The 14,208-nt window shown below is 42.8% G+C and overlaps 1 pseudogene; it reads right to left on the bottom strand.

Annotated features, from left to right (window-relative positions):
• Positions 1–11,894: 11,894 nt before the first annotated feature.
• Positions 11,895–13,361, bottom strand: LOC107987320 (translation initiation factor IF-2-like; annotated as a pseudogene).
• Positions 13,362–14,208: the final 847 nt, after the last annotated feature.

The following is a 14,208-nucleotide window of genomic DNA, read 5'->3' as shown; positions in this document are numbered from 1 at the left end:
TTTCATTTTTCAGTTCAAGATTTGAAAACCTTAATGTGGTAATTTCTCTAATTTTTTTGACAGTTACGTCCCAGGTTGCAAGTTAAAATAAAATTCCCATTTTACTAAAGTCCTTGGTTTATTAATGATTTTATAATGACTTAATATATAATTTAATGAGTAATGAGGGGTACTACATTTCAGAAATAAACACTGAAGAACTTATTCATGGAACCAAACACCACCTGTTTCTCAAACACCTATTAAAATAAAAATACATATAAATAATTTTTAAAAATAAACACTAAAAATAAAGTGAAAATGAAAAAATATATATCCAGGTTAAAAAAAAAACTACTTCAGTTAAACAATAAATACTTTTTGGGGGGACTCAACTCTACTACAAAATTATTCGTTGTTTATTATAATCAATAATACAGGTAAAATAATAAGTTTTTAAAAATTTAAAAATTGTAAAAAATAAAACGATATTAACAAACATTGGTATACTGGTGAAGGCCGGGCTCAGTGGCTGCTTTCCAAAGTGGTTACACCAGTCGGGCATGGTGGCACACACCTGTAATCTCAGCACTTCCGGAAGCTGAAGCAGGCAGATCACTTGAGCTCAGGAGTTTGACACAAACCTGGGCTACATGACAACACCCCATTTCTACCAAAAACTGTAAAAATCAGCTGCTCATGATAGCATGCACCTGTAAGTCCCAGCTACTTAGGAGGCTGAGGTGAGAGGATCACTTGTGCCTGGAAGGTCACAGCTGCACTGGCCATGTTCATGTCACTGCACTCCAGCCTGCGCAACAGAGCAAGATTTTGTCTCAAAAAAAAAAAAAAAGTTGGTGACAATTGGAATACTTGGAACTCACATACATTACTGGTGGGAATATAAAATGGTGTAATCAATTTGGGTGTTTTCTTGGCATTTGATTTTTTTAAAAAATCAAGATATTGTTTCCCTATGTTGCCCAGGGTGCTCCTGAACTCCCGAGCTAAGAAAATCCTCCAAACTCAGCGTCTCAAATACCTGAGATTAAAGGTGTGAGCCACTGTGCCTGACCAGTGTAACCACTTTGAAAAACAACGTGGCAGTTTCTCAAAGACTAAATGTATAGTAATCACATAATGCAACAATTTCACTCCTGAGTGTAAATCCAAGAGAAATAAAAATATATGTTCACACTAAAACTTACGTACGAGTGTTCATAGCAGCCTGACTCATGATGGTGAATACGCAAAAACAACACAAATGTCCATCAACTAATGAATGGATAAACATAAACTATTACTCAGCTACAAAAGGAAAGAAATCCTGATACACACTATAACATGAAAGAAATTTGAAAACATTCTGCTAAGAGAAAAAAAAGCAAATTACAAAAGATCACACATTGTACAATTCTATTTCTATAAAAGGTCCAGATTAGGCAAAACTACAATGACAGAAAATAAATCACTGGTTGCCTATGAACATGGGGTACGTAGGAGGTAACGGCTAAGAGGTGAGGGTTTCTCACTCATAAGTGGGTAACTCACAAGTGGGTAATCACTTCTAAGAAAGACTGTGGTGATGGATGCACAGCTCCTTGAATATTCTAAAAACCACTCAATTGTATACTTTCTTTTTTTCTTTAGTTATTTAAAGACGGTCTCCTTTTGTCACCCATGCTGTAGTGCAGTGGTGCCATCTGGTCTCACTGCAACCTATGGCTTCTGGGCTCAAGTGATCTTCCAGTCTCATGTCCCCAAGTAGTTGGGACTACAGGCATGAGCCACCACACCCAGCTAATTTTTGTATTTTTGCTAGAGATGCTGTTTTGCCATGTTGCCCAGGCTAGTCGCAAACTCCTGAACACAAGCGATCCACCTGCCTCAGCTGCCCAAAGTCTTAGCGTTATAGGAATTAGCCACTGCACCTGGCCTGAATTGTGTACTTTGATAAATGAATTGCATGATACGTTAATCATATTTCAATAACGTTATTATTTTAAAAATGGCTGGGCATGGTGTGGTGACTCACGCCTCTGATCTCAGCACACTGGGAGGCCAAGGTGGGTGGATTGCCTGATTTCAGGAGTTCGAGACCAGTCTGGCCAACATACTGAAACTCTGTCTCTACTAAAAATACAAGAATATTAGCTGAGAGTGGTGACATGGGCCTGTAATTCCAGCTAGTCGGGAGGCTGAGGCAGGGGAGTTGCTTGAACCAGGGAGGTGGAGGTTGCAGTCAGCTGAGATCACACCACTGCATTCCAGCCTGCATGACAGAGTGAGAGTCCGTCTCCAAAAGAAAGAAAGAAAAAGAAAATGGGCATTGAACACAGGTGGCTCCCACATACATATAATCCAAGCACTTTGGGAAGCTGAGGCAGAATGATCACTTGAGGCCAGGAGTCTGACAACATCCTGAGCAACACAGCAAGATCCCATCTGTACAATAAAAAATAAAGAAGTTAGCTGGGAATAGGGGCAAATGTATGTAGTCCCAGCTACTTGGGAGGCTGAGGTGGGAGGACTGTTTGAGTCCGGGGTTTCAGGCTGCAGTGAACCATGATCATGCCATTGCACTGCAGCCTGGGTGACAGAACAAAACCCTGTCTCTAGAAAGAAAAAAAAAAAGAAATCCAAGTTTTTATCACCTTCTGAGAGTAATCAACATTCAGGAGGAACATAGAAGAACAAAAGACCACTGAATGGTTGAGGGTGGGTTGCTGGTTAGGTTCAGTGGCCAGCTGAGTAGTATCTGAAAAATTCTTTAGTAAAATTATGGCACTAGGGGTGAGTCATGCAGTCGAAGGATGAATACTAAATCCAGTACAAACACCCATGGTCTTTCTTTACATGAATTCCAGTGAAAAATTTCTAAGTGCCTAAAATAGCAAGTGGTCTGAAATGATGGCAGCAGTTTATTAAAGACTGAAAAAAGAGGCCAGGCACGGTGGCTCACACCTGTAATCCCAGCACTTTAGGAGTCCAAGGCCAGTGGATCACAAGGTCAGGAGTTCAAGACCAGCCTGTCCAACATGCTGAAACCCCGTATCTACAGAAAATACAAAGCTTAGCCGGGCATGGTGGCATGTGCCTGTAGTCCCAGCTACTTCAGAGGCTGAGGCAAAAGAAATGCTTGAACCCGGGAGGCAGAAGTTGCTGTGAATTGAGATTGTGCCACTGCACTCGAGCCTGGTGACAGAGGAAGATGCTGTCTCAAAAAAAAAAAAGAAAGAAATGGCATCTTCAAGAACCACAAGAGAGTTCCACGCTGAAGAAGCTCTGATTCTGCATTTGCTGAACTACTGATTTGAGTTAGCCAATATAACACTATCTTAGATAAAGTGTACAAACAACTCAATTTCATCTCCTCATTAATAACTGATTAGTCTAATATCAATTCTGATTTTTAAAAAGCTAATTAGAAAAAGAATTAATTATAGAACCAATAAGAGGTTTGAATAGTTACAAGCTATTCAAAGGAGAATTCAAAAAACCATTCAGGTATGAGGCCATAAAGTATGATGAAATAAATTTCATTAATATATTTTAAAATAAACTGATTAGACAGGCAACAACACCTGGGCACGGGTCTCCTCACCTCCAGCAACACAAACCCAATCGCGCAGCTATGGGGTTGCAAAGGCTGCATAGTGACAAACAGACTGCTCTGAGCTGAGATTTCTTTACTTGTATCTGTATTCTGAGACCGGGTCTCACTCTGTCACTCTGGCTGCAATGCAGGGGTGCACTCATAGCTAACTGCAGCCGTGACCTCCTGGGCTCCGGGGATCCTCCTGCCTCACCCTCACCATAGCTACGGCTACAGATGAACACCAAAACACCCAGCTAATTTTTTTTTTTTTTTTTTTTTTTTGTAGAAAGAGGAGCCTTGCTATGTTGCCCAAGCTGGCCTCAAACTCCCGCCCTCAAGAGATCTGCCCACCTCAACAACCTAAGTAACAGGTTCTACAGGAAAATACCACTATGCCGGGATAATTATATTTTATTAATTTTTATTTGCATAGACAGGAAGTCTTGCTGTGTTGCCCAGGGTGGTCTCAAACTCCTGGACTCAAACCATTCTCCCATCTCTGCCTCCCAAAGTGCTGAAGCTACGGGCATAAGCCACTACACCTGGCCCGACTTAAGATCTCTGTAATCTAGCATCCCATACTTCATATAATTGGGAAAAGCAGTAGTGGTTTTTTTTTAATTACTTAACATTTCAACAAGAATCAACCATCTCTCACCATTGCCAGGGCCCTGGTCAGAACCACTATCATCTCCCACCTGGAGGTTGCCACAGCATGGCCTCCCTGCTTCTACCCAAATCTTCCCACAATCTTTGTCAACTCAGCTGCCATGGGATGCTTTTAAATCAGTAGACAGTTCGTGTCAACTCTCTGCTCAGAACCCTTCCGCATCTCCCATCTCAGACAGAATAAAAACCAAAGCCCCAGCAATAGCCTCCCAGGGCTTACACAATCTGTACTGATCTGAGTCCAACAACTCCCTGGCCTCCTTCCCTACTTCTCTCCCTCTCTCTACTCCACAGACCTCTTTCCTGAGCTTCAGACACACCACGGAGTTCCCTCTTAGCATCTTTATTCTGTTGTTTCTGCCTAAAATGCTCTTCCCTCAGTACCTTGGCCAGCTCCTTCCCCTCCTTCAAGTCTTTGCTCAATTTTCACTTAGGAGGCCAACCCTGACCACTCTATTTAATATTGCTATCTGTCCCTATTCCTGCCATGCTCACTCATTTCTTTTTTCTTTTTTTTTCTAAGATATAATCTCGCTGTGTCACTCAGACTGGGGTGCCATGGCACGATCACAACGCACTGAGACCTGGAGCTCCTAGGTCAAGAAATTGTCCTGCCTCAGGGCCTCTAGTAGCTAAGACTACAAGTGCATGCCACCACACCCGCTAATTTTTTTTTTTTTCCATGTAGACAGGGTATCATTTTGTTGCCCAGACTTATCGTGAACTCCTGGGCCAAAGCAACCATCCTGCCTCAGCCTCCTAAATAGCTGGAATTATAGGTGTGGGCCACCAATTCTGGCTTCATGTTCATTTCTTCTTGCCGCTGTTACAAACTACCCTACATTGAGTGGCTTAATACACCACAAATCTACTCACTAAGAGGTCTGGGGGCCAGAAGTCCAAAATAGGTCTATTAAGGCTAAAGTCAAGGTGCCAGCAGGACTGCATCCCTTCTGGAGGTTCTGGAGAGAATATGTTCCCTTGCCTTTCCCAGTTGCTAAAGCCACTCCTATTCTTTGGCTCATGGCCCCTAACTGCATCTTCAAAGCCTGAAGCAAAGCATATTCAAATCTCCCTCTGTGACCTGTGCTTCCATCATCAAATCTCCTTCAATTCGGACTCTCTTACCTCCCTCTTTCACTTATAAAGACCTCTTGTGATTGCTGGACACAGAGGCCGTGGCTCACAACCATAATCCCAACAGTTTAGGAGGTCAAAGGAGGAGAAACGCTTGAGGCCAAAACTTCAGGACCAGCCTGGGAAACACAGCGAGACCCCCTCAATTAAACAACAAAAAGAAATAAGAAAAAATTAGCTGGGCATGGTAGTATGCATCTGTAGTTTCAGCTACTTGAGAGGTTGTGGTGAAAGGATCGCTTTAGCCCCAGAGTTCAAGACCAGCCTCGGCAATATAACAAGATCCTATCTCTACAAAAAAATACAACAATTAGCTGGGCATAGATGGTGTGCACCTGTAGTCCCAGATGCTTGGAAGGCTGAGGTGGGAGAATTGCTTGAGCACAGGTGGTTGAGGCTGCAGTTAGCTACAACACCATCACTGCACTCCAGATTGGGTGAAACAGAGACTCTGTGTTCAAAAGAAAAAGAAAAGAAATACACATTTGGTTTCTGCCCCTCATCCTGGCAAAGAGCTTCTCAAGCTCTTATAAAGGCCTTGGTGATGAAAGTGATGGGGCATCTTCTGTTTCAATATTTGGTCTTAGTCCCAGGTTTCTAACACAAGAGCCTCTAAGACCTTTGGGATCACCATAGTAAGAATGCATTTGGTGATGTTACTGAGATGACTGGGTGACTGAAAGCTTGTAGACAGCTTCAGAAAAAGGGGTGGTTGTTGTCAGAAGAACAAACCATGTGATTAGAGGCTTGGAACTGTCAGCCTCACCCCCTGGGCTCCAGGAAGAAATAGTGGCCGAAGACTGACTTAATCACCAATGGTCAATGACTTCACCAATCATGCCTGCATAATGAAGCGTTCATAAGCGCCCTCAACAGCTGGAGTTGGAGAATGTCTGGGTTGCTGAACACAAGGGAGATACCAGGAATGTAATATGCACAATAGAGGACATGGAAGTTCTGTACCCCTCTCGACATACCTTGCCCTGTGTGCTTTTTGTTTTTTTTTTGAGACAGAGTCTGGCTCTATCTCCCAGCCTAGAGTGTCATGGCACAATCATGGCTCACTGCGAACTATGCCTCCCTATCTCAAGCCCCATCCTCTCATCCTCTCACCTCAGCCTCCTGAGTAGCTAGAATTATAGGCACTGAGTAGCTAGAACTATAGATAACTGTGCCTGGCTAATTTTTAGAAAAATCTTTTTGTAGAGATGCATTTTCACCTTGTTACCCAGGCTGGTCTTAATCTCCTGAGCACTTAAGTGATGCTCCCGCCTCAGTCTCCCAAAGTGCTGAAATTACAGGCATGAGCCACTGTGCCCAGCATGTACATCTCTTTCACTGGCTGTTTCTGAGATTTAGCCTTTAAAATGAACCAGTAAAAGAAAGTAAATTGGTGAGATGCAGTGGTTCATGCCCATAATCCCAGCATTTTGTGAAGTTGAGGTGGGAGGATCACGTGAGCCCAGAAATTTGAGACCAGCCTGGGCAACATAACAAGACCCCATCTCTACAAAAAGTAAAAGAACATAGCCAGATATGCTGGTACAGGCCTATAATCTCAGCTATTTGGGAGGCTGAGGTGGAAGGATCACTTGAGCCCAGGAGTCCCATGCTACAGTGAGCTTTGATCACACCACTGCATTCCAGCCTGGCAACAGACTGAGACCCTGTATCTCAGAAAAAAAAGAAAACAATCTGTTTTTCTGAGTTCTGCAAGCTGTCCGAGCAAATGATTCCACCCACCAATGGGGGTCATGAAACCCTGTTTTCTAACTGGTTGGTCAAAACTACATGTAACAACCCAAGACTTGCAATTGGTATGTGGAGTGAGGGTAGACTCCTGGGACTGAGCTCCCATCCTGCAGGGTCTGCACTAACTCCAGGGAGTGTCAGGATGGAATTGTGGGATACCCAGTTGGGATCCAGATTGTTTGAAAATCAGTGTAGAAACTCCACATGCACATTTGGTCAGAGGTGTTTGACCGTAACTACTATTCATGAAAAAGTTCTACTCATTAGAACTAAAAATCACAAAATTGTAAGTTCTACAAAAACAAATCAACCTTATCTACCGCCCAGTCCTACCGAACTACAGAATGTGAGAACAGAAGGTCTGACCATGGAGTCGAGAACTGACAGGAATGTCACCACCATCCTGCTCTCCAAGGACTCCTCATCTTCAACAGACTCCTCATCTTCAATGGGCAGGATGGAAACTGCAACTTGTGCCATGATCCTTGCACAAGAAAAGTAGTAAGAAAATGAGTGGTAGAAATCCAGTGTCCTAAACTCACATCCAGAGCTGTGAGAGTTTTTTACTGGCTGGATAATTCACAGTTATCTTGAATCAGGGGAAAAATAAGACTCAGAAACTAGGAATTCATTTTGCCCAAAACTCTCATCAGATACAGAATCCATCCGCTAACTATCTAGTATTATTTCCATAAGTTAGATCAATTATCACTCCCAAAACAAATGCACATGGCACCCAGAATCTGTGCATTTCTCCCAAGTAAAAGAGGAGGTGGATGGGTGCAGTGTCTCATGCCTTTAACCCCAGCACTTTGGGAGGCCAAGGTGGGTGGATCACCTGAAGTCAAGAGTTCAAGACCAGCCTGGCCAACATGGTGATACCCTGTCTCTACTAAAAATAAAAAAAGTTAGCCAGGTGTGGTGGCATGTGCCTGTAGTCCCAGCTTCTTGGGAGGCTGAGGCAGGAGAATCACTTGAACCCAGGAGGCTAAGGTTGCAGTGAGCAGAGATCCCACCACTGCACCTCAGCCTGGACGACAGAGTGAGACTCTGTCTCAAAAAAAAGGAGGGGAGGAAAGGAGGCAAGGCACTTTACAACCCAGTGATGGGCTACCACAACTCAACACAGCAAAGAGTTGCCAAGCTCCCTTTCTCCCCTGCACAACCAGACACAGAAGAGTTGGTGTAGTGGAATGAGGCTGGATGGAGAGAAGTTCTTCTTCTTTCTTTCCTTTTTTTTTTGAGATGGACTCTCACTCTGTCACACAGGCTGGGGTGCAGTGGTGCAATCTCGGTCACTGTAACCTCTGCCTTATGGGTTTAATCAATTCTCTGCCTCAGCCTTCCGAATACCTGGGATTAGAGGCACCCCCCACCACACCCAGCTAATTTTTTTTTTTTTAGTGGAGACTGGGTTTCACTATGTTGGCCAGGCTGGTCTTGAACTCCTGACATTAGGTGATCTACTCACCTCGGTCTCCAAAAGTGCTAGGATTACAGGCATGAGCCGCTGTGCCCAGCCAAGAAGTTCCTCTTCTTACTTAGAAAACAGATCACAGGGCATCAAGTAACACGTAAAATCCTCTATAATAAGCAGTATTATTTTTGGAAAACCTTTCCTAATATTTTGGTATCAGTGAAAAGCCTCAGATTAATTTCAAACACTATAAAAATACAATACATAAACAGAAAATATTAACTGTCAGCAATGCTATAGAGAAATTGGAAGCTGTATGCATTGCTTTTTGGAATGTAAAATGGTACAGCCCACTGTGGAAAATGGTTTAGCAGCTCCTTAAAAATATGAAGCATAGAATTATATGATCCATCAACACCCTTTAAGCGTATATACCCAAAAGAACTGAGAGCAGGGACTCAAACAGGTATTTGTACACCCAATTAACAGCAGCATTATTCACAGTGGCCAGAAGGTAGCCCAAACCTAATGCCCATCAGTAGGTGAATAGATAAAGAAAATGTAATATATACATACACAGAGTATTATTCAGCCATAAAAAGAAAAATATCTGGCCAGATTCAGGGGCTTACACCTGTAATCCCAGTATTTTGGGAGGCCAAGGTGGGCAGGTCTCTTGAGCCCCATATTTTGAGACCAGACTGGACAACATGGCACATTTGGTTAGAAGTGTTTGAACATAACTACTATTCCAGAAAAAGATCTACTCATTAGAACTACAAATCATAAAATTATAAGTTCTACAAAAAAAAAATCAACCTTATCTACCACCCAGTTCTACCAAATTATATCATGTTAGAACAGAAGGTCTCACCGTGGACTCGAGAGCTGATATGAGAAATGTCACCACCATCCTGCTCTCCACGGAATCATCTTCAACAGACTCCTCATCTTCCATGGACTCCTCATCTTCCATGGGCAGGGTGGAAACTGCAACTTGTGCCATGATCCCTGTGCAAAAAAGTAGTAAGAAATTGAATGCTAGAAATGCAGTGTCCTAAACTCACATCCAGAGCTGTGAGAGTTTCTCACCGGCTGCCAAATTGTTTTTTGGGTCAGAGAAAAAAATAAAACTTGGTAACCTGGTACTCGACTTGCACCAAACTCTCATCAGATAGAGAATCTATCCGCTAACTTTCTATCTAGTATTATTTCCATGAAGTTACATCAATATCACTCTCAAAATAAATCCAGGTGGAAGACTAAATCCAAAGCTAGCAGAAGGAAAGAAATAATAAAGAGCATAATTAGAGCATAAATCAATAAAACAGAAGGTTGGAGAGCAGTAGAATGAAAAAATGTAGATTCTTTGAAAGATCAAGCCTTTCACTATATTGACTGAGCAAAAGATGGAAGACTAATTATTAAAATGATAAATGAAAGCAGAGCCATTACTACCAACTTTACAGAAATACAAAAGGATTACAGGAGTATACTGTGAACAACTGTCTAGCAACAAATTAGGTGCCCTGGATGAAATGGATGAATCGCTAGAAAGACACAAACTACCAAAGTGGCTCAAGAAGAAAGAGAAAATCTGAATAGACCTATAACCTAGGAGATTGAATTAGTAATCGAAAGCGATTAACAAAGAAACATTTATGACCAAATAGCTGCATTAACTGGTGAGTCAACCTAACATTTAAAGAAGAATTAATACCATTTCTTCTCAAACTCTTCTGACAAAATATATGAAGAAGGAATACTTGCTAATTCATTTTTTGATAACAGCATTATCCTTATACCAAAGACAAAGAGAGCACAAAAGAGAGAAATACAGCACTATATCCCTTATGAATATATAAGCAAAAATCTCAGCAAAATACTAGAAATACTAGCAAAATACTAGCAGCAGCAATACTGTATAATCAAAGGATTGTAAACTATCACCCTTTGAGATTTATCCCCAAAATGCAAGGGTGGTTCAACATATAAAAAATCAATCAGTGTAATATGCTGTAACAGTAAAATGAATAAGCACGTGATTATTTCAATTGCTGCAGAGAAAACATTGATGAAATACAACACCCTTCTATAATAAAAATACTCAATAAACTAGGCATAGAAGGGATCTTCTGCAACATGACAATGGGATGTACAAAAACCCAACAGTTAATATCATGATCAATGATGAAACACTGAAAGCTGTTTTCCTAACATCTAGAAGAAAAGGATGGTGCATTTGCCACTTGTATTCAACGTAGCACTGGCAGTTCTAGCCAGAGCAATTAGGCAAGACAAAGAAATAAAAGGCATCTAAATTAGAAATAAAAAATAGGTGTAAAATTATATCTACACATGATCTTATGGGTATAAAGCTCCAAACAAAACACAAAACCGATTATAACTAATAAAAGAGGCAGGATGCAAACAAACATAGGCAAATGAGCTATATTTCTATATAGTTGTAAAGAACTATGAAAACATTTTAAAAATTCCATTTATAATGACATCAAATAATACGTTATTCAGGCATAAATCTAACCATGGTGGTATACATAAAACATTGCTGCAAAAAACTAAAGAGAGTGGAAATAAGTGGAAAGACATTCTGTGTTCACGGGTTGTAAGACAATATTGTTAAGATGACAATACCATCTAAAGTAATCTACAGATTCAATGCAATACCATCAAAATCCCAAAGGCATTTTTGCAGAAACAAAGAAACTCATTCTAAAATCATACAAAAATTCAAAGGATCTGACAGACAAAACAGTCTTGAAAAACAACATTGGAAAACTCACATTTTTCAGTTTCACAGCCTACTACAAATCTACAGTAATCAAGAGAGTGTGGTACTGGAATAAGACCAATAGACTTTCAGACCAATACAATGGAACAGATTTGAGATCCTACAAGTTAGTCCTCACATATATGGTCAATGACTGTTCAACAAGGTGGCCAAGTCTAGTCAAGGGAGGAAAGAACAGTCTCTTCAACAACTGGATGTCAGTGCACAAGAGAGAAGTTAGACCCCTACTTTGCAGTATATACAAAAATTAATTCTAAATTAATAAAATACTTAAATGTAAGGACTAAAAATATGTAACTCTTAGAAGAAAACACACGGTAAACCTTTATGACCTTTGAGTTTTAAGTGTATTTTGAAATATGACAGAAAAGCACAGATAACAAAAGAAAATACACGAAAATTAGATTTAATCAAAATAAAAAACCCTTTATGTATCAAAGGATACTATCAAGGAAGTGAAAAGACAACCCATAATATGTGAGAAAATATGTATCTGATAAAATCAAAATGTGTATCTGATAAAAGCTTAATATTCCACAACTCAACAACAGAATTTCTAAGATCCCAATTAAAAAATAGGCAAAGGACTTGAACAGACATTTCTCCAAAGAAGATACACAAATGTCTAAGAAGGAAAAGAAAAGATGCTAAACACCATTATTCATTAATAAAATGCAAGGCAAAACCCAAATGAGATGCCACTTTGCATCCACTAGTAAGGCTTTCATAACAACGACACAGAAAATCAATGTTGCTAAGGAGGTGGAGAAACTGGAGCCCTCATGAACTGGCTGCTAGGAATAGAAAATGATGCACTTGCTGTGGAAAACAGTTTGGTGGTTCCTCAAAGAATCACACAGAGAAACAGGCGCCGCTGGCTTGCGGGTTCTCCTGGGCTGGCGCGGGACGTCCCGGAATCACAGGCGCGCACTCCTTCCCGCCTGAGGGTCCGCCTGGCCGTGACTCCCGCCCCTCTCCTCCTCCGAAGAGAGATCGGGGCCGCCCCAGGGGCCGTCTGCAGCCACCGGGGATGGGGCTGAGGGTCGGTTCCTGCCCCGGTGCAGCCGCCCCTGGGCAGACCGCCTGGCTTGGTCGCAGCCATGGCGACATCTAGCTCCGGTTCTGCGAGGCTGGGCGCGCCAGCCAGCTTGGGAGTCGCCCGGCGCCTGTAGCTGGGCTCCCAGGTGGTGAAGCATGCCCTGGGCGGCCTCTGGATCGCGGGTGCCCCTGGCCTGAGAGCCTGCCAGACCCTGCCCTGGCCCGGCTCCTCCTCTGTCAGAGCTCCAGATCTCTATCCAGGGGCCCTCTGCAGCCACCGGGGATGGGGCTGAGGGTCGGTTCCCGCCCCTGTGCAGCTGCTGCAGTACAGACCGCCTGGCTTGGCCACAGCCACAGGGACATTTGGCCCTGCTTCCAAGATGTGGGGAGTGTGGGCGGGCTCGGGAGTTGCCTGGAGGCTGCTGCCTGCATGCAGAAGGCGGCTGCAGCTCGGGTGCCCAGGCAGGCTGGAGGTGCATGGCCTGGTCGGCCTTGGGATCGCCAGCGCGCCAAGCCTGAGGGCCCCCAGGCCATGCCTCCCGACCACTCCTCCACCTGAGGGAGATCGGAGCCGTTTATATGGGCACTCGGCAGTCACCTCGTGTGGGGTTGAGCGGTGGGTTCTCAGTTCTCGCTCCTGTGCAGCTGCTGCCGCAGGGCAGAATGCCTGGCTTGGCTGCAGCCACTGGGACACGTGGCCCTGCTTCTGTGATGCTAGGAGCGCGAGCGGGCTCGGGGGTTGCCAGGCAGATGCTGCCTGCACACAGGGGGCGACGGCAGCTTGGGCGCCCAGATGGCAGAGCATGGTTTGGGTGGCCTCTGGAATGCGTGCGCGCCAGGCCTGAGGGTCACCCTGGTGGGGCCACATACCCCGGTCTTCCTCTGCTGGAGCCTGGAGCAGCTGGAATGGCCACTATTCCGTCACAGGGGATGGAGTTAAGTTTTCTTATCCCACCCATGCACCCAAAAGGTGACTATTCTGTGAGGTAATAAACGTGTTAATTGACTTCATTCATGCCACTCTGCATCCACAAGTAAGGCTTTCATAACAATGACACAGAAAATAAATGTTGCTAAGGAGGTGGAGAAGTTGGAGCCCTCATGATGTGGCTGCTAGGAATAGAAAATGATGCCCTTGCTGCGGAAAACAATTTGGTTGTTCCTCACAGAATGAGCATTGGGTGAAAAATGAAATCAAGATGGAAATGTAAAAAATGTCTTCGAACTGGATGACACAACCTATCAAGACCTCTGGGATACAGCAAAGGCACTGCTAAGAGCAAAGTTTGTAGTCCTAAAAACCTACATCAAAAAGTCTGAAAGAGCACAAACAGACAATCTAAGTTCACATCTCAGGGAACTAGAGAAGCAGGAACAAGCCAAACCCAATCCCAGCAAACACAGGAAATAACAAAAATCAGAGCAGAACTAAATGAAATTGACACAACAACAACAACAACAAATACAAAACATAAATAAAACAAAAAGTTGGTTATTTGAAAAGATAAATAAAATTGATAGACCATTAGCAAGATTAACCAAGAAAAGAAGAGAGAAAATCCAAATAACCTCACTAAGAAATGAAACAGGGGATATTACAACTGACACCACTGAAATATTAAAGATTATTCAAGGGTACTATGAACACCTTTTGGCACATAAACTACAAAACCTAGAAGAGTTGGATAAATTCCTGGAAAAATACAACTCCCCTAGCTTAAATCAGGAAGAATTAGATACCCCAAGCAGACCAATAAAGCAAGCAGCAAGATTGAAATGGTAATTTTAAAATTACCAGCAAAAAAA

The sequence above is a fragment of the Homo sapiens genome, chromosome 22, assembly GCF_000001405.40.
Source record: "Homo sapiens chromosome 22, GRCh38.p14 Primary Assembly".
Lineage (NCBI taxonomy): Eukaryota > Metazoa > Chordata > Mammalia > Primates > Hominidae > Homo > Homo sapiens.
The sequence above is the reverse complement of the archived record's forward strand: the minus strand, read 5'-3'. Positions and strand labels throughout refer to the sequence as shown.